The sequence below is a fragment of the Homo sapiens genome, chromosome 6 (assembly GCF_000001405.40).
Source record: "Homo sapiens chromosome 6, GRCh38.p14 Primary Assembly".
Classification (NCBI taxonomy): domain Eukaryota; kingdom Metazoa; phylum Chordata; class Mammalia; order Primates; family Hominidae; genus Homo; species Homo sapiens.
The window spans coordinates 160,926,213-160,948,091 of record NC_000006.12 but is presented as its reverse complement, the minus strand read 5'-3'; the positions used below and the strand labels follow the sequence as shown (position 1 = coordinate 160,948,091).

General features: G+C 41.4%; 1 long non-coding RNA gene across 17 annotated transcripts in view, besides 1 other annotated feature; it reads right to left on the bottom strand.

Moving 5' to 3' along the window:
- LOC102724087 (uncharacterized) overlaps positions 1-21,879 on the bottom strand; it is a 55,176-nt gene that overhangs the window by 33,122 nt on the left and 175 nt on the right. For 3 of the 17 annotated variants that reach the window (NR_187764.1, NR_187760.1, NR_187763.1), the window contains exons 1-3: positions 21,780-21,879; positions 20,860-21,098; positions 19,999-20,229 (exon numbers count right to left, since the gene is read on the bottom strand). This is a non-coding gene — a long non-coding RNA (uncharacterized LOC102724087). Of the gene's footprint in view, positions 1-5,331; positions 5,545-19,998; positions 20,230-20,467; positions 20,530-20,859; positions 21,150-21,513; positions 21,662-21,779 lie in introns of those variants that run through there. The other 14 variants (NR_187761.1, NR_187758.1, NR_187770.1 and 11 more) reach the window with 13 other exon arrangements.
- Positions 17,081-17,375: an enhancer, noted in NCBI's record as "tiled region #6130; K562 Activating non-DNase unmatched - State 13:Ctcf, and HepG2 Activating DNase unmatched - State 4:PromP". NCBI's record gives its function as "activates a minimal TATA promoter and a strong SV40 promoter by Sharpr-MPRA in K562 cells, with weaker activation in HepG2 cells {active_cell/tissue: HepG2 | K562}" and the evidence as "EXISTENCE:reporter gene assay evidence [ECO:0000049][PMID:27701403]".

The following is a 21,879-nucleotide window of genomic DNA, read 5'->3' as shown; positions in this document are numbered from 1 at the left end:
CATACACTAGTCAAATAAAATTCTTTTGCTTTGGAAAATCCATTTCTGAGAAATCCAATAGATTACATATAGTTTTTTTTCTTTCTTTTTTTTTTTTTTTTTTTTTGAGGTGCAGTCTTACTCCATCACCCAGGCTGGAGTGCAGTGGCATGATCTCGGCTCACTGCAACCTCCGCCTCCCAGGTTCAAGCGATTCTCCTGCCTCAGCCTCCCAAGTAGCTGGCATTACAGGTGTGTACCACCATGTCTGGCTAATTTTTGTATTTTTAGTAGAGACCAGGTTTCCTCAAGTTGACCAGGGTGGTCTCGAACTGCTGACCTCAAATGATCCACCCACCTCGGCCTCCCAAAGTGCTGGGATTACAGATGTGAGCCACCATTACATATAGTTTTAATAGTTGCTCAAATACATACTTAATGTCACAGATAATTCTGATATTCAGAACATGCTGGTTGTTATAATGACACCAGAAAGCAATAGCAAATACTTTATGGTAGTAATGCCTCCGATCTCTTTATTTATTTATTTAATTTTGAGACAAGGTCTTGCTGTGTCACCCAGGCTGGAGTGCAGTGGTGCGATCATAGCTCACTGCAGCCTTGAACTCCTAGGTTCAAGGGATCTTCCCACCTCAGCCTCCCAAGTAGCTGGGACTACAGGCATGTGCCACCACACTCAGCTAATTAAAAAAATTATTTTGCAGAGAAGAGGTTTCACTATATTGCCCAGGCTGGTCTCCTGGACTCAAGCAATTCTCCCGCCTGGGCTTCCCAAAGTGCCAGGATTACAGGTGTGAGTCACCTTGCCTGGCTCTCATCTCTTTAATTAAATATTCATAAACCACTCCCCAGCAGCATTTTCTATACACATTCAGAGGATTTTTTTTGCCCTCAATTTCCTTATTTAAATGGCAAAGGCCAACTTATTGTCAATTATACCTTAAAGTCTTTTTTTATTCATTACTAGGATTTCTCCTTTAATAACACAGGAAGGTTGGGTGCGGTGGCTCACGCCTGTAATCCCAATACTTTGGGAGACCAAGGCAGGAGGATAACTTGAGGCTGTGAGTTCAAGACCAGCCTGGGCAACATAAGTGAGACCCCATCTCTACCAAAAAAAAAAAAAAAAAAAAAACAACAACTTAGCTGGGCATGGTGGCACGTGCCTGTAGTCCCAGCTACTCAGAGTGCTGCAGGGTGAGGATTCCTTGAGCCCAGGAGTTTAAGGCTGCAGTGAGCCATGATGGTCCTACTGCACTCCAGCCTGGGCAACACAGCGAGACCCATCTTGAAAAACAAAGAACAACAACAACAAAAAAGGAAAAAATGTGTCAAACAGATTGAAAGAAAACCTCGACAGGATGACTGTCAAAAAAGCACACAGAGAAGCAGTCCAGTAAAGATAAAAGAAGTGTCAATAATATCAAAATGAGGAATCCACCTGAGGGCCAGCTCAATGTATTGTAATAAAAGAAAGATAACATAAACACAGGTATGCTGGGGGAGCAGGGTTAAAGCAATCGCTTGTAAATAGTTTCAAAGAAAATAAATGGGGAGATTTTGTATAGAAGCAATAGGGAAAGGAAAAATAAACATAATTTGCTACACTTTCTAATTCTAATAAAAATATCTTAAGTGTTGCTGCAGAGGAGGCATATCTGAAGGAGAATTGGCAGGTGGGGAGGCAGCTGGTGCAATAAATTACAACCGGGAGAGAAAGAATTTGGTAAGGTTGAGTAAGAGACGGCTTCTGATTTAACTCGTCAAGAAATTCTCTTTTCAATGGTTAGGGGGCAAGTGATGGTTACTACATACAAGACAAATAATTACAAATAAATTAGATCCCAAAACAAAAAGCAAGCAGGCAAGCAAACAAAGGTAGACAAAAGTTAGAGTCTACACCACCCCAATGAATGGAACTTTTTAACGTCGACTTCCTTTTTTTTTAACCTCATGAGCTGGTTATAAAGCAATGAACTAAATGGCGATGGGCTTGGTCCAATTTCCATAATATAATTTCATGGCTTTTCTAACAGAACTGCTACCCAAAATCATTGTTGGCAGGCTTCAGACAATCAATCCAATGCACCCAATTCCTTTGGGTGATGCGACTTGTTGCTGGGCCACACCATCCAATCACGACCCTCACACAGAACACGGCTCCCAAGCCTGCCTCCCACCCACAAAAAAAAAACAACCCTAACGAAATGTGTCCCTAAGGTGCTCAGGAAGGGTATTCTCATTCTTCTGCGGGTAGCCCCAGATGTCAGTGTCCAGAGGCCTGTCTCTGGCGCTTCCCTTTCTGCAGAGATAAAATTTCTGCCCCCCTGCCTGGGCAGTGGGAGGAGTGTCTTGATTGCTAGGAATTCTGTGGGAAGCAGTGAGTGAAGTAAGGGTCAATGCTGTCTCTAACGACTTTCAATCACTCCCTTCTTGTCCCTGGGTCACGCTGGGCTGTATCTGAGTGCGGTGCCTCTCCAGAATTCCTGGGCTGCCCTCTCTTCTGCATCCCCATATCATGGGTGTCTATATGGGCTCACTCCAGCCTGGAACATCAGTGACCACTTCTTTCTCCTTTCGGCCCACTGGAAGCCCACTGTCTTTTCCACCAATGGCTACCCTCTCATTCTCATTGTTGAGAAATGAAGGACTTTTTATGCCTCCACTACCCGTGTTGTGGGCCTCTCTCAGGAGGCAGCTACCTGTGAATGGGTAGTAAGACATTTTAACCAAAATTCCACAAAGTGATGAGCACTTTCAGGTTCTGTAATGAATACACTGTTTTGGTCACTGATGCTATTATTACTGTGTTTGGCTTCATCACACAGATTTTAAGTTCCCAGGCCAGGATTGTTTATAAGCCTTCATATCTATATGCCAGGAATAGAGTAGCTGAACAAGAAATGAGTGGGCTCATGTTTGAGTCTCAGAAAGAATGTTTTCTGTGCCCCAATGTATGTGCAACTATACCTTTGTTCATTGTCGAGCCTGTGACATCATACTCCACTGTCTCCCTAAAAGCCTATGTCTTCCTCCATGTTTCCTCGTCTCCTGAAGCTCTCCTCCTTTGATGCTGGAGTTCCTCAGGGATTGTGCCTTGATCTCTCTTCCCTTCTCACCCTGCATGTGGACTCCTGTGGCTTCAAGAAGCCTCTCTGTGCTGAGAATTCCATGCTTATATCCCTTAGACTACATGTATGTCTGATACCTGTCTGTATGCTTCTATTTGAACATTCAACCCACCCGTCAAGTTCCCACATTCCCTGCCATCCGTTTTTATTCCTGTGTTCTCCTTCATCAGTGAACATCATCACCTTTTACACAAATCAGAAACCTGGGTTCTGTACTCCACCTCTCCCTATTCCTTGCCTACCACTCCATCCCCACTTCCCAATCCAATCCATCCAAGTCCATCCTTGGCCACCTGCTTCCCTAGACACTCATCACCATTATCCTGGTTCAGGCCACTGTCACCTTGCACCTGCATTATTTCAACATTCTCCTAACTGAACTCCTACCCACAGCATTACCCTACTGATATGTCAACCCAATATGTCACTCTCTGGTATGTTGTAAAGACTTTCATGGTCTGATCTTGGTTTACTTCTCCAGCTTCACATTTTGGCAATACCCATCTCACAGGCACTATCAGTTATGCTTATATCCTCCAATATGGGTGCCTTTCAATTAGCTCTAGATCTTACAAATATTCTTCCCTCTGCCTGAAAGATTATTCCATCCCCACGCCCTCAGCCAACTTTTCTCACTCATTCTTCCTTCAGATATCAGCACAGAAATGACCTCAGAAGTCTCTCCTGACCCTCTCCACCAATGCTGGGTTAGGCCTCCAACGGACACCCACCACCCCTTGCTTCCCCACTGTGGGTTTCCCATACTGAGTGTAATTGCCTGTGTCCTTGTCTGTCACCCCACTCACCTGTGAGCTCAGTGTGGGCTATGGCCATGCCTGCCTGTTCTTCATTTCAGCTTTGTCCCAGGGTCTATGATATGGTGCACAATCCACACACATTTGTTACATGAATACATGGAAGAATAACCAATATTTTATTGCCTTTCATTTTAATTTTGGTTTCCTAATAACTTTTTGTTTCTATCTAAAGAATTTATAATGTAAAGTTTTCAAAAGACAAATATTTTGCAATTATGTATGTGAAAATGTTGGGCCGGGTGTAGTGGCTCTTGCCTATAACTCTAGCACTTTGGTAGGCTGAGGTGGGCAGATCACTTAAGCCCAGGTGTTCAAAACTAAACTGAGCAACATGGCAAAACTTGGTCTCTGCAAAATATATAAAAAGTAGCTGAGTGTGTTGTTATGAGCGTATAGTCCCAGCTACTTGGGAGGCTGAGGTGGGAGGATCACCCGTGCATGGGGGAGTTGAGGCTGCAGTGAGGCAAGATGGTGCCACTGCACTCCAGCCTGGGTGATAGAGTGAGACTCTGTCTCAAAACATAAATAAAATAAAGAAAATGTTGGAAGTTAACTTATTTATTCATTCCAACATGTTTAATTATTTTCTGATATAATTGAACCAAAGAAAAGAGCCACTCCAATCGGTGAAGTCCCAGAAGGGATCAAAGAAGGGATTTTACAGCTTTCTCTGATTACCACCCGTGAGGAGATGGCATAGGTATCAAGGTGATTTGGGGGCTAGGAAATAGGCTTAGCCATCTCTCAGGTGAGGCTTCTAGATGCAGGTATAGATTTCAGCTTATTGGCCAGAGTTTCCTATACTAAACAATATTCCTATTTTCTTTAAAGTTATTTCTTGAAAGGTAAGGAAAATGTAGAGATTCATACCTACTGTGCATTTCTTTACTATCACATAAATTTGCATAAAAGTAATCATCAGTTGTCTTTGAGATTTTCACATCGTGTGTGTGTGTGTGTACGTGTGTGTGTGTGTCTATGTTTGGAGGAGATTTAATTTAAAACTTTTTTTTAATAATTAAAAACCCACTCTTTATTATTAGGCTCCTACATTCTTTATTACTGACTTATTTATACTCAAGGGCTGAAGCTAGTGCCCATGGAGATTGCAGGGGAAAGTTTCTTAAAGGGGTGCTAGGAAGAAACCATTCACCAATTAATTCTGATTATTCATTTTGCTGATGATAATGAAATTAAGAATTGGGCTGGCAAATGTTTTGCTGAGCACTTAGGAAATAGGAGACTGAATGCTCAGAAAAAGATCAGGACATGGTGATCCTGATAAGCTGTATGAAGAAATAGCAAGAGAATGGTTTTTGGAGTCAGATAAGACTATAATTTAAACCCATTACTTTACCCCTGAGCTTCATTCCACTCATCTCTTAAATTGTGGCAGCAATGGTTTATTTTGGTGAGTATTATGGGCTTTAGATATATTGTATGAAAATGCATAGTGCCTTGTAGCCACACAATGAATGGTAGTCTGTGTTGCCTTTTTCAGTCTGATGAGTAAGCAGGAAGATGAGGAGATTGCTTCCGGTGCAATGCACATCAATTTCCCAATAAGCCATTGCACAGGGATGCTCACACTAGCCCTGTGCAAAAAGCAGAAGCATGAAGTGAAATTATAGCAGGTGACATTACTGTATCCAAAAATTCTTGCTGGATAGATCACCATCCACTTGAAGGGCAGTTTCTAGTGCCATGTCAGAGGGCCATGTCATCGGTCCAGTTCTATTCGGTGCTTTTATCATGACCTGGAAAAGGAACACTGGGAGGGATAGGTAACATTTTTTGAAAAATGGCTGGATGTGGTGACTTGTGCTCATAATCCCAGCTATATGGGAAACTGAGGCAGGAGGATCACCTGAAGCCAGGAGTTTGAGACCAGCCTGAGCAACATAGAGAGACCCTGTGTGTGTCTAAAAACAAAACAAAACAGCAAGTCGTGGTGGCTCACGCCTGTAATCCCAGCACTTTGGGATGCCAAGGCGGGCGGATCACGAGGTCAAGAGTTGAGACCATCCTGGCCAATATGGTGAAATCCCTCTCTACTAAAAATACAAAAAATTAGCCGGGCGTGGTGGTGGGCGCCTGTAATCCCAGCTACTTGGGAGGCTGAGGCAGGAATGTTGCTTGAACCTGGGAGGTGGAGGTTGCAGTGAGCCGAGATTGCACCACTATGCTCCAGCCTGGCGACAGAGAGAGACTCCGTCTCAACAAAACCAAAACGAAACAAAAACAAGTCACAATATAAAAATTTGCAACAGGCTAGTAGGAAGAAATCTACAGAAAAAACATAAAATCCCTGCTAATCAGGAAAATCAAATTTAATGAACAATGAGAAAAAGTGTGTGTATGTATTCATGTGTGTATGTGTGCATGTGTGTGTGTGCCTGTGTGTGTGTAGGGCTAGTCTAGATTAAGAAAGAATTGAGACACAACAACCTGATGTAATACGTGATATTGACTGGATCCTGACTCAAAGAACAATGACGACTATAACAGGCATTTTGAGGACAATTAGAGATACTAGAATATAAACAGGGTATTAAATAATGTTACGGAATTATTTTTAATGTTTAAAAGTATGTTGAAAGAGTATCATGGTTATGTATAAGAATATCCATATTTTCTTGGGTAAAATGTCAAAATGTGTGTGTATATATCACTGAGATGTCATAATGTCTGTGTATTTATATATATGAACAACGTAAAAGTGAAACACATGTATGCATATGTATGTGTGTATATGTGTGTTTATAATGAAGATGAAGAAAAATCTCTAGAACTAAAGGACGTGAATTTGTGTAATTAAATGGCCCTCCCAAAAAGCAAACCCACATGAGTGTATGTCATAATGAAGTATTAGAGTACTAGCATTAAAAAAGTCCTACAAATTATTAGAGAGAAAATACAGGTTGCACGCAAAGCATAAAGAATGAGAATGGCATAAGACATCTTAACAGTGCCACAGAAACTAAAAAGTAGTTCTGAGTAAAAATGAACTATTTACCCAGCCAAACCGTTAATTAGGTATAAAGGTAGAGTTAAGACATTTATAGACATACAAGATATTAAGATTACTGAGTCAATTGATATTCAACAGGGGTGCAAATGGAGAAAAAGTCTTTTCAACAAATAGTGGTGGGACAAATGGATAGCCACATGCAAAAGAACATATATATAAGAGCTAAAACCATAATGCTTTTAGAAGAAAATATAGGGTTTATCTTCATGACCTTGAATTTGACAAAGGATTCTTGGACATGACACCAAAAGCACATGCAACAAAAGAAAAATTGGAGTGATATGATTAATATGGTGGAACAGGAGGTCTCCAGCTTGCATCCTCCGTCTCCTTGACACAAACAACAATCTGGCAGCCATCCATGGACAAAAGTGCCTCTGTGGGAGCTCTAGGATCCAGGTAGAAGGTTATGAAACCCTGGTAAAGCCCAAGACGGAGGAGAGGTACTTTAAGAAAGCAGACCTGAACCCCCGTAGTAGGCTTGCTGAATGTGGTCCTAGCTGTACACCAAAGCAGCCCCATCCTCCTACGGAGTTGGCTCCAGCCCCGTTTGGTTGCAGCCTGCAACCAGCTCCATCTGGTAAGGAAACCAGAATAACCCATGCCTGTCTGTGCCCCCAGTAACAGACCTGCTGCCCCTGTCCTGAATGTGGATCCTGAAGCAGGCCTGTGGCCCAGCCCCAGCCCCACTCTACCATCGTCCTGAGTCAGTCCTGCCTGCTCAGGAATGCAGTGACACCTATCTGTGCCCCTGGTAGTAGGCCTGCTGACTTCAGTCCTGACTGGATCCTGATGCAGCCCTGTGGTCCAGCTCCAGATCCATTCAATGGTGGTCTGGAGGCAGGCCTGCCTGCCCAGGGACCATGAGAGCACCCTATACCCATCAGCACTTCTGGTAACAAGACTGCCGACCTTGGTCCTGACTGCAGACCATGAAGCAGCTCTGTGACTCAGCTCCATCTCTGCTCTCCCACAGTCCCAGAGGCACCCATCCAGGTGGAAGCCCACTCAGGGACCCAGCAGTAGCCACAGCTGTCTACCCTGATAACAGGCCTACCATCTGTGGACTCAAGTGCAGACCAAGAAGTGTCTCTGTAGCTTGGCTCCAGCCTTACTTGATCATGGTCCCAGAGTCAGTCCCATGCACCTGGGGATCCAGCAGTAACCCTGCCTGCCTGCCTGCACCCTCCAGTAACAGGTGGATCCAACTGAAGACCTTGCAGCATCCATGTGACCCGACTCCAATCTCACTCAATTACAATCCAGGAAGCAGTCTCATCAGTCTGAGGACATGGCAGGGGGTCTTTACCTGCAGAAATCAGTATGTAAAGACAGGAAGAAGTGTTTGTTCCTTCAAATAAACAGACATCAACACAAGGCTGTATGGATCATGAAGAAGCAGGCAAACATGGCACCATCAAAAGAAACTAATAAAGTTCCAGTAACCGACCCTAAAGAAATGGAGATACATGAACTGTATGACAAATAATTGAGAATAACCATTTTTAAGGAAATTCAGTGAGCTACAAGACAACAAGAATACATAAATCTACAAAAATCAGAAAACCAATTCATAAACAAAATAAGAATTTCAACGAAAGGCTAGAAATCATAAAAAAAGAACTAAACAGAAATTCTAGAGCTGCAGGATGCAGTGAATGAAATGGGAAAAAATGCAACAAAGAGCTTCTGCAGCAGGCTCTATAAAAATGAGAAGAATTTGTGAACTTGAAGACAGGTCAATGAAATTATCCAGTTAGATGATGAAAAGAAAAAAAATGAAAAAAAGTAAGAAAGTCAACAGGATTTACGTGACATTATAAAGGGAAACTATATATATATTATGGATGTCCTAGAAGGAATGAGAGAGAAAAACAGAAACCTTATTTAAATAAATAATGCCTGAAAACTTCCAAAACCTTGCAAGGAATATGGACATCAGGTATATCAAACTCAAAAATCCCCAAAGAGGATCAACCCAAATAAAATTATACCAAAACACATTATAAGTAAATTGGCAAAAGTCAAAGACAAAGAGTAAATTTAGAAAGCAGCAAAAGAAAAGTGACCATCACATACAGCTGCTCCCCTCCTCATAAGCTATCAGCAAATTTTTCTGCATTAACCTTGCAGAACAGGAGAGAATGGGGTGTTACATTCAAAGTGCTGAAAGAATAAAATTGTTAGCCAAGAATTCTACACACAAAAAGTCTGTCCTTTAGAAATGGAGAGATAAAGATTTTCTCAGACAAACAAGAGCTGGGGGTGTTCATCACTGCTAGAATTACCCCCTTAAAAGAAATGATAAAGGAATTCTTCAAGTTGAAACAAAAGGGTGCTAACTAGTAACATGTAAGTATATGAAAATATAAAGCTCACTGGCAAATGTAAGTATATAGTCAAATTCAAAATAGTCTAATAGTGTAATGATGGTATATATTTCACTTTTAAATTTAGTATAAAAGACAAAAGTATTGAAAATAAATATAGGTATAATAACGTATTAATGGATACACAGTATAAAGAGATGTAAATTGTGACATCAATAACAAAATGGGATGAAGGAGAAGTAAAAGTGTAGTTTTCGTATGCACTCTAACTTAAATTGTTATCAACTTAAAATAGATTGTTACAACTATAAAATGTTTATTGTAAGCCTCCTGATAACCAAAACAAAAAAATGTCTAGTTGATACACAAAAGATAAAAAGAAAGGAACCAAAGAATACCACTCCAAAAATTATCCAATTTTTTTTAAACAAAAGACAACAGAAAGACAGGACGAAAGGAACAAAGGAATTAGGCATAAGTCAGAAAAACAATTAACAAAATAACAAAAGCAAATTCTTTCCTATCAATAATTACTTTAATGTAAATGGATTAAATTCTCCAATCAAAAGACATACAGTAGTTGAACAGGATAAAAACTAGGATCCAACACATGCTGCCTACAAGAGACTCACTTCAACTTTAAGGACACACCTTGGCTGAAAATGAAAAGATGGAAAAAAATATTCTATGAAAATGATAACGAAAAGAAAACAGGAGTGGCTATAATTACATCGGACAAAATAGACTTTTAAAAACTGTTACAAGAGACAAAGATGGTCATTATATAATGATAAAAGGGTCAATTCATCAGGAAGATATACCAATTATAAGTATATATTCACCCAACATCCAAGTGCATCTAAATATATAAAGCAAACACTGACAGACCTGAAGGGAGAAACAGACAGCAATACAATAACAGTAGGTGACTTCAATACTGTACTCTTTATAATGGATAGATCATGCAGACAGAAAAGCAGTAACAGCAGAACTAACAACACTAAAGACAAAACGGACCTAACAGACATACACAGACTGCTCCAACCAACAGCAAATGAATACACATTTTCTCAAGTGCACACAGGATCAGATATATCACATGCTAGGTCACAAAACAAATCTTAAAATATTCAAGAAGAGCAAATTCATTTCAAATATCTTTCCTAATCGCAAAGGAATGAAACTAGTAATCAATAACAGTAAAAAAAAAATCACAAATACATGAAAACCAATCAACATGCTCCTGAACAACCATTAGGTCAAAGAGGAAATCAAAGAATGTTTTAAAAATATGAAAATGAAAACAAAATATCTCAAAACTCATGGGATGCAGCAAAAGAAGTATTAACAGGGAAGTTTATAACAAAAAATGCCTTCATCAAAAAAAATAGATATCAGATAAACAACCTAACTTTACATCTCAAAGAAGTAGAAAAAGAAGAACAAACCAAGCAAAGTTAACAGAAGAAAGGAAATAATAAAGATCAGAGCAAAAGTAAATCAAATAGATAAGAGAACCCCCTTCCCCTCAGAAAAAACAACAAAACTAAGACTTGGCTTTTTGAAAAAGAAAATAATATCAATGAACTCTTAGCTAGACTAAGAAAAGAAGAGAGAAATGTAAATAAATAAAACTAGAAATGAAAAAAAGTATTACAATGGATATCTCAGAAATAAAAGTATTATAAGGAGCTATTATGAACGATTATACACCAACAAATTGGAGAATCTAGAAGGAATGGATCAATTCCTAAAAACATACAACCTACCAAAACTGAATCAAGAAGAAATAGAAAGGCTGAATAGACCAATAACAAAAGGAAGTTGAATCAGTCATCAACCCCACTCCCATTCCTAAAAAGGAAAGCCCAGGTCCAGATGACTTCATGGGTAAATTTTATCAAACGTGTAAAGAAAAATTAATTGCAACTTTTCTTGAATTCTTCCAAAAAACAGAAGAAGGAAAACTTCCAAACTCATTTTATGAGTCTAGCATCACCTTAATACCAAAGCCAGATAAAGATACCACAAGAAAGGAAAACTACAGGCCAATATCCTTGATGAACACAGATGTGAAATTCCCCAATAAAATGCTAGAAAACCCAATTCCACAGCACATTAAAAGAATGGTTCAACATACACAAATCAGTCAATGTGATACACCACATTAACAAAATAAAAGAAAACAACAACATGATCATCTCAATAGAGAAAAAACATTTGACAAGTTCAACATTCACTCATGATTAAAACACTCAATAAAATAGGCATAGAAATAACTTATCTCAACACAACAAAGGTAATATATGAAAAGCCCACAGTTAACATCATAATCAAAGAGTGGAAAATGGAAAGATTTCCTGGTACACGGCAAGGATGTTCACTCTCACCACTTCTATTCAACATAGTACTCTAAAACCAAGCTGAAATAATTAAAGAAGAAAAAGAAGCAAAGGCATGAAAATCAGAAAGGGAGAAGTAAAATTATCTCTGTTTGCAGATGACATGATCATATATGTAGAAAACTCTAGGGCCTCAACAAAATAACTGTTGGAATTAATAAAATGAATTCAGTAATGTTGCACGATACAAAATCAACATATAAAAGTCAGTATCATTTCTATACACAACTATTTTTAAAAGAAAATCAAGAAAACAATGTCATTTAAAATAGAACCAAAAAGAATAAAATACTTAGGAATAAACTTAACCAAAGAAGTGAAAGACTTGTACATTGAAAATTATAAAACATTGATGAAGGAAATTAAAGAAGACACACACACACACACACCATATGACAGCCCATGTTCATGGATTGAAAGAATTAATATCATTAAAATGTCTATACCATCTGAAGTGATCTACAGATTGAATGCAATTCCTATGAAAATTCCAATATAATTATTTACAAAAAAAGAAAAACAATCCTAAAATTCATATGGAACCACAAAAGAACCTGAATAGCCAAAACAATCTTGAGCAGAGAACACAGCTGGAAGCATTATATTTTCTGATATATATTACAAAGCAACAGTAATCAAAACAGTATGGTACTGGCATGAAAACAAACACAAAGATCAATGAAACCAAATAGAGAATCCAGAAATAAATCCATGCATCTACATTCAGCTGATCTTTGACAAGGGTGACAAGAACACAAAATGGGAAATAGATTGTCTCCTCCATAAATGGTACTGGGAAAACTGAATATTCACATAGAGAAGAATGAAATTGGACCTTTATCTCACACCACATACAAAAAATAACTCAAAGTAGATTAAAAACATAAACATAAGATCTAAAACTGTGAAATTACTGGAAGAAAACACAGAAGAAAAGCTTCTTGACATTGGTTTGGGCATTGATTTGTTGGATATGACCCCAAAGGAAAGGTAACAAAAACAAAATAGACAAATGGGATTGCATGACATTTCTGCACAGCAAAGGAAACAATCAACAGAACGAAAAAGTAACATTAGGAATGGGAGAAAATATTTGCAAACCATACATCTGATTGGGGTTAACTTCAAAAATATGTAAGAAGCTCAAACAACTCAGTGGCAAAAAGAAAACCCAAATAACCCAATTTTTTAAATGGGCAAAGGACCTGAATAGACATTTATCAACAAAAGACAGACAAGTGGAGAACAGGTATATAAAAAGGTGCTCAAATTCACTACTCATCAGAAAAATGCAAATCAAAGAAATATATGGGCTGGGCATGGTGGCTCACGCCTATAATCCCAGCACTTTGGGAGGCTAAGGAGAGAGAATTGCTTGAGGCCAGGAGTTTTGAGACCAGCCTGAGCAACATAGTGAGACCCTGTCCCTATAAAGAAATAAAGAATTAGCTGGGCATGGTATTGTGTACCTGTAGTTCTAGCTACTTGGGAGGCTGAGGCAGGAAGATTGCTTAAACCCAGGAGTTTGAAGTTACAGTGAGCTATGATCGCACCTCTGCACTCCAGCCTGGGTGACAGAGTAAGACCTATCTCTAAAAATAAAAAACAAAACAAAAGAAAAACCTACACTCTAATATCACCTTAAACCTACTAGAATGACTATTATCAAAAAGGCAAAAGATGACTCGTGTTGGTGAGGATACGGAGAAAAGGGAAGCTTGGCACACTGTTGGGGGAAATGTAAATTGTGGCCATTATGGAAAACAGAATGGAGGTTCCTCAAACAATGAAAAGTAGGGTGTGCATACTGTGTGGGTGTGGTGTGTGTGTGCATGCTGTGTGGTGTGCATGGTGTGACTGTATATGTGTTATGGATTTGTGGTATGTGTGAGGTGTGTATATGATGTGTGTGCATGGTGTAAGCATGGTGTATGTGCATAGTGTATGTACGGTGTGTGTGTGCAGCGTGTGGTGGGTGATCTGTGTGTGGTCTGTGTGTGTACATGGTGTATGGTGTGTTGTGGGTGTGTGGTGTGTTGTGTGAGGTGTGTGGTGTGTGCGGTATGTGTGCACACAGTGTATGTATGGTGTGTGTGTGTGTGTGTGTGTGGTATATTGTTGATGGTACATTAAAGAGAATTAAATCCTAATATTGCAGGGTGGGAAGTCCATAGGTAATGATTAAAAGAGAAAAAAGAAGTACCAGGGTCAGAAGGTTATTTAGAGATTTGAAGGTAAATGCCAACAGGATCAGTTTAAAGAGTCGAAGTGTTTGCCTCTGGGGAGAAGGAAATTCAAGCTTTTTTATAGAACTTTTTGACTCTTTAAACTATGAGCATATATAAAGTTGACTTTTAAAAACTAATTAAAAGAATTTTTAAATGTTCCAAAACAGGTTGGATGAGTACACACTTCATCATGATTGTGGCTGAGGGAGACTGGGTTAGAGAAGAGAGGATGAGCCAGAAAGTTCCAGGGACTGGGGAAAAGTTAAAAGGAGAAAATGTTCACAATTGTTAACTGCAGGTTGTGGGAAAGTTGGTAAGTTGCTTCAATGTTTGCTCCCTCTGTACTTTTTCATATATTTAACATTTCTTAAATTAGCTTAATAATGAACTACGTAATCAGCTATAGAGTTGAGGGTGTGGAGCTTACACAGGACAGCTGAGCTACCGGTTTAAAATGAATGGTATTTTTTAAAATGACTATTTGGAGGATTAACAGAAATAGAACACCCAAACAAGGGTTGATAAGAAAGGACCCCAGGGCTCTGTCTCAGCTCTCCTGGCCACACCTGGAGGACATGGGCCTCTCCAAGGTCTCACGCTTTCAGGAGGTGTTGATGAAGGATATGGAGAGACCTGAAGCTCTGGGCGCTGCGCAGTCTGAGAAGAGAAGCTCCAGGAACGTGGGAGCTGAGTGCAGATACCGGAGGGCTGTCATCCAGCAGAGGGAGTAGGTGACGACTGGCCTAGCGAGGGACCCTTATCAAGGCTACATTTGTAGATCACTTTGTTTGTGTGGGGCACTGCTGTGACTGCATTAAATTTCCACTTACCTAAATCCATTTTTGTGCACTTGTTTTCTACTCTTGTAAGAAACACAACAGCGTCAACCTCAAAACAGTAATCTAGTCAAAGGAGCAATTCCCAAGGCACGACATGTGGGGAATTCAGATTCATCAGCACCCACAGAGACTACAGTGATTATTGATAACGCCAACTTAACGCCTGGCCAGCAGCATGGATCCTGACCTCCACTATTCTTGTGTGTTTACGGAATCACACAAAAGTGCAGTGTTTTCATTTTTGCTGCTTGTTTCACAGGTCTGTATAACCCACTTTTAAAGTCAAAAAGGCCAATAAAAGTATAAACTCAGTACAATGTATAATATACCTATTTCATATACATATGAATAGATATACACTTTTACACATGTATGCATATGTATCATATGCGTCAATTACTAGATGGAATAGAATTTTTTTTTTTTGAGACCGAGTCTCTGTCACCCAGGCTGGAGTGCAGCGGCATGATCTCAGCTCACTACAACCTCCGCCTCCCAGGTTCGAGCGATTCCTCTGCCTCAACCTGCTGAGTAGCTGGGATTACAGGTGCGTGCCACCATGCCCAGCTAATTTTTGTATTTTTAGTAGAGATGGGGTTTCACCATGTTAGTTAGGCTGGTCTCGAACTCCTGACCTAGTGATCTACCCACCTCAGCCTCCCAAAGTGCTGGGATTACAGGCATGAGCCACCATACCCCACCTAGAATTTTTTAAAATTGAAATATTTTCCAGTTTTTAAGCATATCAGCATATCAGCTAACTTTAAAGTGTTAATGTCACTGTACTTATAAATTATTGAAGCTTAAACTTTAGAATAGTGGAGGATAAGTTAAACGTAGCAAAAAGATTTCTCCTTTATTACTTCTTTTTTTAAAAAATATTTTTTTTTTTGGCACAAGCTCTCGCTCTGCTGCCCAGGCTGTAGTGCAGTGGTGCAATCTTGGCTCACTGCAGCCTTGTCCTCCTGGGCTCAATCATCCTCCTACCTCAGCTCCCGAGTAGCTGGGGCTACAGGCGTGCGGCCACCACACCCGGATAATTTTTTTGGTATTTTTTGTAGAGATGAGGTCTTGCCATGTTGCCCAGACTGGTCTTGAACTCCTGTGCTCAAGCAGTTCTCCTGTCTTGGCCTCCCAAAGTGCTGGGATTACAGGAGTGAGGCACTGCACGTGCCCTATTGCTTCTTTAAATAAGGGACAAGAGATATAAAGAGAAAACAGGAAGTACCTTCTCCCTCTGTAACTTATGAGGTAAGCAGCTAATTGATCATATGGTAAAGAAGAACCAAATAAAATTAGTGTCTCAAAATATCAGGAGCACTGCTTCTGTGAAATCAGTTAAAGTACATGTCCATATTAGTCATCCATTGATACACATGCTTATTTTCCTAAGTGAATTCTCCACAATTCTGAAAACCAGTGAAAAGATTATCTCATGTTAGTTCTACACAAAACCAAGCATCGCATGTGACTCTCCATGTTTCAAGGCATACACATCCCTTTCCACCGAGGATCAAAGTGCCCTACACCAAGGATCAAAGTGCCCTATGGGAAGCAACTTCTTGCCTTTTAAACCAGATTCAGTAAACAAAAACTGTTTTGCATAGCTGACAAAAGATCACACTGATTGCACAAAACAAGGTCAGCCTGTGGAAGGAAGCTTACAAGGTCAAATGGGGCACGTTAAGGAGGCGTAACCCATCACATTGACTTTTCTGCTGTTAGAATTTTTTTCTGGTAAAAAATACAGGTATCAGGATTCCCTGTGTCCAGCAGGTGTTAGAACAGAGGAAGACAGAGGGCGGCCTCCTGCAAAACATCTCCTACCCTTGCCAGTTTCCAATCCAGTGTCCAGGGGCTGGAGCATCAGGGCTCCCCGTGCTTGCGCTTGGAAGCAGAAACGCCCTCAAGCCCCAGTTCTCTCAGGGGCTCCGACCCACCTACCTGGGGTTCAGCCCCGGAGCCAGCGGCTGGACCGAACGGGGTCGCGCCCTGGAACACAGGGCGGGCGAAGGAGAAAAGCCCAGCTGGCAGCGCATGGGCGAGCGTCCTGCCTTTCCCAGCGGCCTTGGCCTGGCCATCATGGGCTTGCGGGAGGGGTCCGCCCACCCGCGCCCCCGCCCCGGGCCCCAGCCCCGTGCCTGCGCCTCTGCGGAGCGCAAGCGGCCTTGTTCCTCTCCCGCGGGGGACCCTTCGCGAGCTCCAGAAGCATCAGTGTCCTCCGGGCGGCCGCGGGCCCGCTGCGGCTCCCACCCTGGCGCCCCTGGATTGCTCTCCCCACTCTCAGCCTTACGCCCCACTCCTTCCACCCCGAATTTTGCAGCCTCAGGACTTGAACCATCTGCTGGCTGAAGTCACTTGGGACAAAACCCACGACAGGTTTTGGGAGCTGGACACTCCCTCCCAAGGAGGCGAGGGCGCGCAGCGAAGTGTGGGGTGTGCCGCCCCCTGCCGGCCTGGGTGACGTTCGCTTCTGCTTCCACGCTGCCCAGCAATGTCCAATTGGAACGTTTGGAAGGCAAGGCTGAGAATAAATGCTGTTTGCAAATTCCAGAAAAGAAAAAAAAATGTTGTTCTTCTATTTAGCAAAAGGTTTTCCCAGCCAAGCCAGCACTTCTGTGGGTAGTATTTAAGTCTTAAGTGCGTCAGAGCTGTTGCCTGCAGGCGCTGGTATTGCCCAAGGGGAAGTATCAGGACAATGTCTACGAAAACTCCAGGATCTTGGATGAAGCAACCTTTCCACATTAAGTTTGTAGCATAATCTACCAGGTCTCCTACGATTTACCCGTCATGCAAAAGGAGCAAGTTTCTGCAAAACAGGGCTTTCAAAGAGCCTTTTCAGGAGAAGAAAATGTTGGAAGAGCTAATTTGTTGCCTACTTGTTGTTCACTTTGCAACTAAAACTAATCCCCTTAAAGGTATTTATGGGTATGAATGATAAATAATGAAAAGGATCAAAATAGGAATGTTTCATTCACTTTAACCTGGCCCATGCTGTGCACTTCAGGCCCTAGACTCTGGTTTGAACTCTGTGATTTCTATCATTCCTTGGCTTTGTTTGCTTCATTGCTTGGGCTTTCAGACTGATCAGAGTTCTGTGAATACAGTAGGTGCTCAATAAATCCTTAATCTGGGTACTACCATTGATGCCTGTGGCAGTGACTGCAGATGGGCGGGCTCCTGCAGCAGCGAGGCGTGGGGCTAGAGGGCCTGGCTCTGGCATCCAACCCTGCTCCATCTGCCACAAAAGCTGTGTGACTTTGGGGAAGTTATGAACCTCTGCTGAACTCTCTGTGGGTAAAATGAGAGTAGTAGCAATAGCACCTCCCTCATAGGGTTGGAGTGAGGAGTAAATGAAATAACCTGTGTAAAGAACCTGGTATGGTGCCTAGTGTTGTGTAAACTACTAATTGGACAGGGGAGTAGTATCCAGAATATACAAGGAACTCAAACATCTCAACAGCAAAAAACCAATGCAGTTAAAATACGGGCAAATGATCTGAGCAGACATTTCTCAAAAGAAGTCATACAAATGTCCAACAAATATATGAAAATGTGCTCAATATCACTAATCATCAGCGAAATGGAAATCAAAACCACTATGAGGTATTAGCTCACCCCAGTTAGGATGGCTATTATCAGAAAGACAAAAAATAACACATGCTGGTGAGGATGCAGAAAAAAAGGGAACTTTTCTACACAGTTGGTGGGAATTTAAACTAGTACAATCTCTCTGGAGAACAGTATGGAGGTTCCTCAAAAAACTACAAATAGAAGTACCATATGATCCAGCAATCTCACTACGGGGCATTTATCCAACAGAATGGAAATCATTATATCACAGAGTCATCTGCAGCCCCGGGTTTATTGCAGCTCTGTTCACAATAACCAAGACATGGAATCAACCTAGTTGTCTGACCACACATGAATGGATAAAGAAAATGTGGCATATACATACCATGGAATACTATTCAGCTATAAAAAATAATGAAATCCTATTATTTGCAGCAACATGGATGAAGCTAGAGTACATTATGTTAAACAAGCCAGGAGCAGAAAGATTAACACTGTATGTTCTCACTCATAGGTGGCAGCTAAAAGAAGTTGATCTCAAGAAGTAAAAAGTAAACAGAAGATACTAGAGGCTGAGAAGGGTCCCAGGAAGGGAGGGATAGGGAGAGAGTTGTTAAAGGCTACAAATTACAGCTTGAAAAGAGGAATAGTTCTAGTGTTCTACACCACTGTAGAATGTCAACAGTAGTATAGTGAATAGTGTCAAATAGCTAAAAGGAGGATGTTGAATGTTTCCAACACAAATATATAATAAATGATAAACATTTGAGATGACATATATGCTAATTACCCTGATTTGATCACTATACATTATATGTATTGAAACATCTTATGTACCTTATGAATATGTACAATTATTATTTGTTGACAAGCATTTTTTTTTGAAAGCTTGATCTCATATAATTAGAGTAGAATAGTGGTACCAGAGGACGAGGAAGGTAGTTGGGGAGAGAAGAGAAGTTGGTCCATGGTTTCAAAATTCCAGTTAGACAGAAATAATAAATTCTGGTGTTCTATTACACACTAGGGTGACTATAGCTAATAATAATATATTGTATATTTCAAAATAACTAGAAGAGAAGATTTTGAATTTTCTCACCACAAAGAAAGGATAAATGTTTAAAGTGATAGATATGCTGATTACCCTAATTGATCATTATACAATATATCCATGCACTGAAACATCACACTGAACCCCATAAATATGTACAATTGCTATGTGTCAATTACAAATGAAATGAAACATTTAAAAAAGAGCTTAGTAAAGTGATTAGTATGTAGGCATTAATCAATCAAGTATAGATATTATTATTCCTCCTCCCAGTAGTAAATTGCAGTACAGTGGTTAAAAGTAATCACTTAAGACCTAGATATTTGGGTTAGAACCTGGCTCCACCAATTTCCATTGGCATACTTTGGGCAAATGAGTTTCAATGTCCTGATCTATAAGTGGTAATAATAAAAGAGAAAAATCTGGTGATTGTAGCGTGGTATAGGCAATTCATAGTGCTGTTAGTGCCTGGCACAGATGGAAAACCTACAATAAATCATAGCTAGTACTAAAATAAAAATTGTAAGGATATGTTTAGATTAGCCACCAATGCTTAATTGTCCTCTAAGGTAATAATGTCTTTGTCTAATTTTACCTTTCCACTTATTTTCTTATCAAAATGTTGATAGCTAGGGATTGCCAGAGGGTCTGAACTCAGTGACACCTTCCCACCTGAAGGTCAAGGGCTGTCTGCAGCCCCTGGTGGAACCCTGGTTGCCGACATCAGTCCTTCCGCTTAGAGCAGTTCTTGTGCAGTCTTTGATGCAAGGTAATTTTGGAAGAATTGCTTCAAGGATGTTCAATGGTGACTGCTACCGATTGCAGCCTGGTGGGTAGAAAGGATATTCAGAGAGATCAAATGCAGTGGCCTTAGCTCCCACAGTTACTCATATATTGAAACTTGGTTTTGCAAAGTAGGTCAAATGAAACTAAACAACATTTGCAATAATCCATCACTGCTCACAGACAGGCAAAGGTTCTGGAAAGGACTGGGCTTGAGGTGAGTTACGGGTTGGTGTTCCCTTGCCTGCAGATTCTTTCGAAACAATGTCCCTACAACTTACTGAACTGGAATGTCAACTCAGTGGATTCTTTCTTCTTTGGCCACTCTTAAGGGACTCAGGTACTGTTGGATTCAAAAAAGGGCTTTTACAAATTCAAGCAACCACCTTTGCTTACTGAGCTCTAACACTAAGAACCAGAGGACCTATTCTTTCATAAAGGTCAGATGATCTTTGAAAAGTGTGTGTGTGTGGGGGGGGGGGCATTTTCTCCACAAATGACATTGTCTTTTCCAAGGTGTCTGGGGCTCCCCAAGTTTGTGGCATACCCTGCCTTGGTGGCTTGTCATGGCCTTTGGGTTAAAATGCACAATATTTAGCAAGGCAGTCTCCCCTCCCCCAGTCATCTGGCCCAGTCTAGTTTCTTCTCTCACCCCTCCCCCAGTACTCCTCACCTGCTTATTCCGGTCTAACCAGGTGTCTCAGTCAGCTGGGGCTGCCATCACAAAACACCACACACGGCAGTTGAGGTGGTAGGGTTGGGGTTTAGACACAGACATTTATTTCTCGCGGTTTTGGAAGCTGGAAGTCCAAGAACAAGGTGTCAGCAGATGCGGTGTCTGATGCAATCTCTTTCTTTGCTTTTAGACAGCCCAACTCCTCGCTGCACCCTCACATGGCATCTCCTCGGCTTCTGCGAGGAGGGAAAGGGACGGGGTGTGTGAGTGTATGTGTGTAGATTGCTGTCTTCCTCTTCCGTTACGGGCACTAATCCCATCATAGGAACCACACCCTCATGAGCTGATCTAACCCTCATCACCTCCAAAGGCCCTGCCTCCAAATACTAGCACATCGTGAGTCAGGGCTTCAGCGTATGAATTTTGGGGGGACAAAAACGTTCAGCCCATAACATCAGGGACTGCAAACTCAGTCACCTTCAGGGGCCAGGCAGGTACAATGAATTCTTGATGAGAGAAGGAAAGTTAATATTTCAAACACAGTCGTTTGTCATTGTCACTCCAGCCAGTCACACAAAACCAAGTTCACTGTCCCTCTCTCCTCTAAGTCCCCTCTCCTCCCGCACCCAGATTCAGCCCAGGGCAGCTCACACACTCCATCCCCAGCCAGGTGGGGCCAGGGACCCTCCAACATCCCCAAGCTGGAGATGCTTCCGGCAGGATGATGAGCCAGGAGGCCAAGTAACTGGCCGGCCCCGGGGACAAGGTGCCCACGACGAATGACGACACGAGTAAACCAGGCCACTGCTGATCCTCCTGAGGCTGCAGGGGCCCTGTGTCCCCACCCGTTCCCTTTATGCGTCTCCTTATCGGGTGCAAAACCTCAACTCCCTCCGGTCTCCTGCCCCATCCCGCACCCTTCATGCTGTGAAGATGGAGGCGCCTTGTACTTCCGGGAGGCAAAAGAGCCCTGAGGGAACCTCCTTCCGTTTCTTGCTGTGAGGACAGCGGACTCCC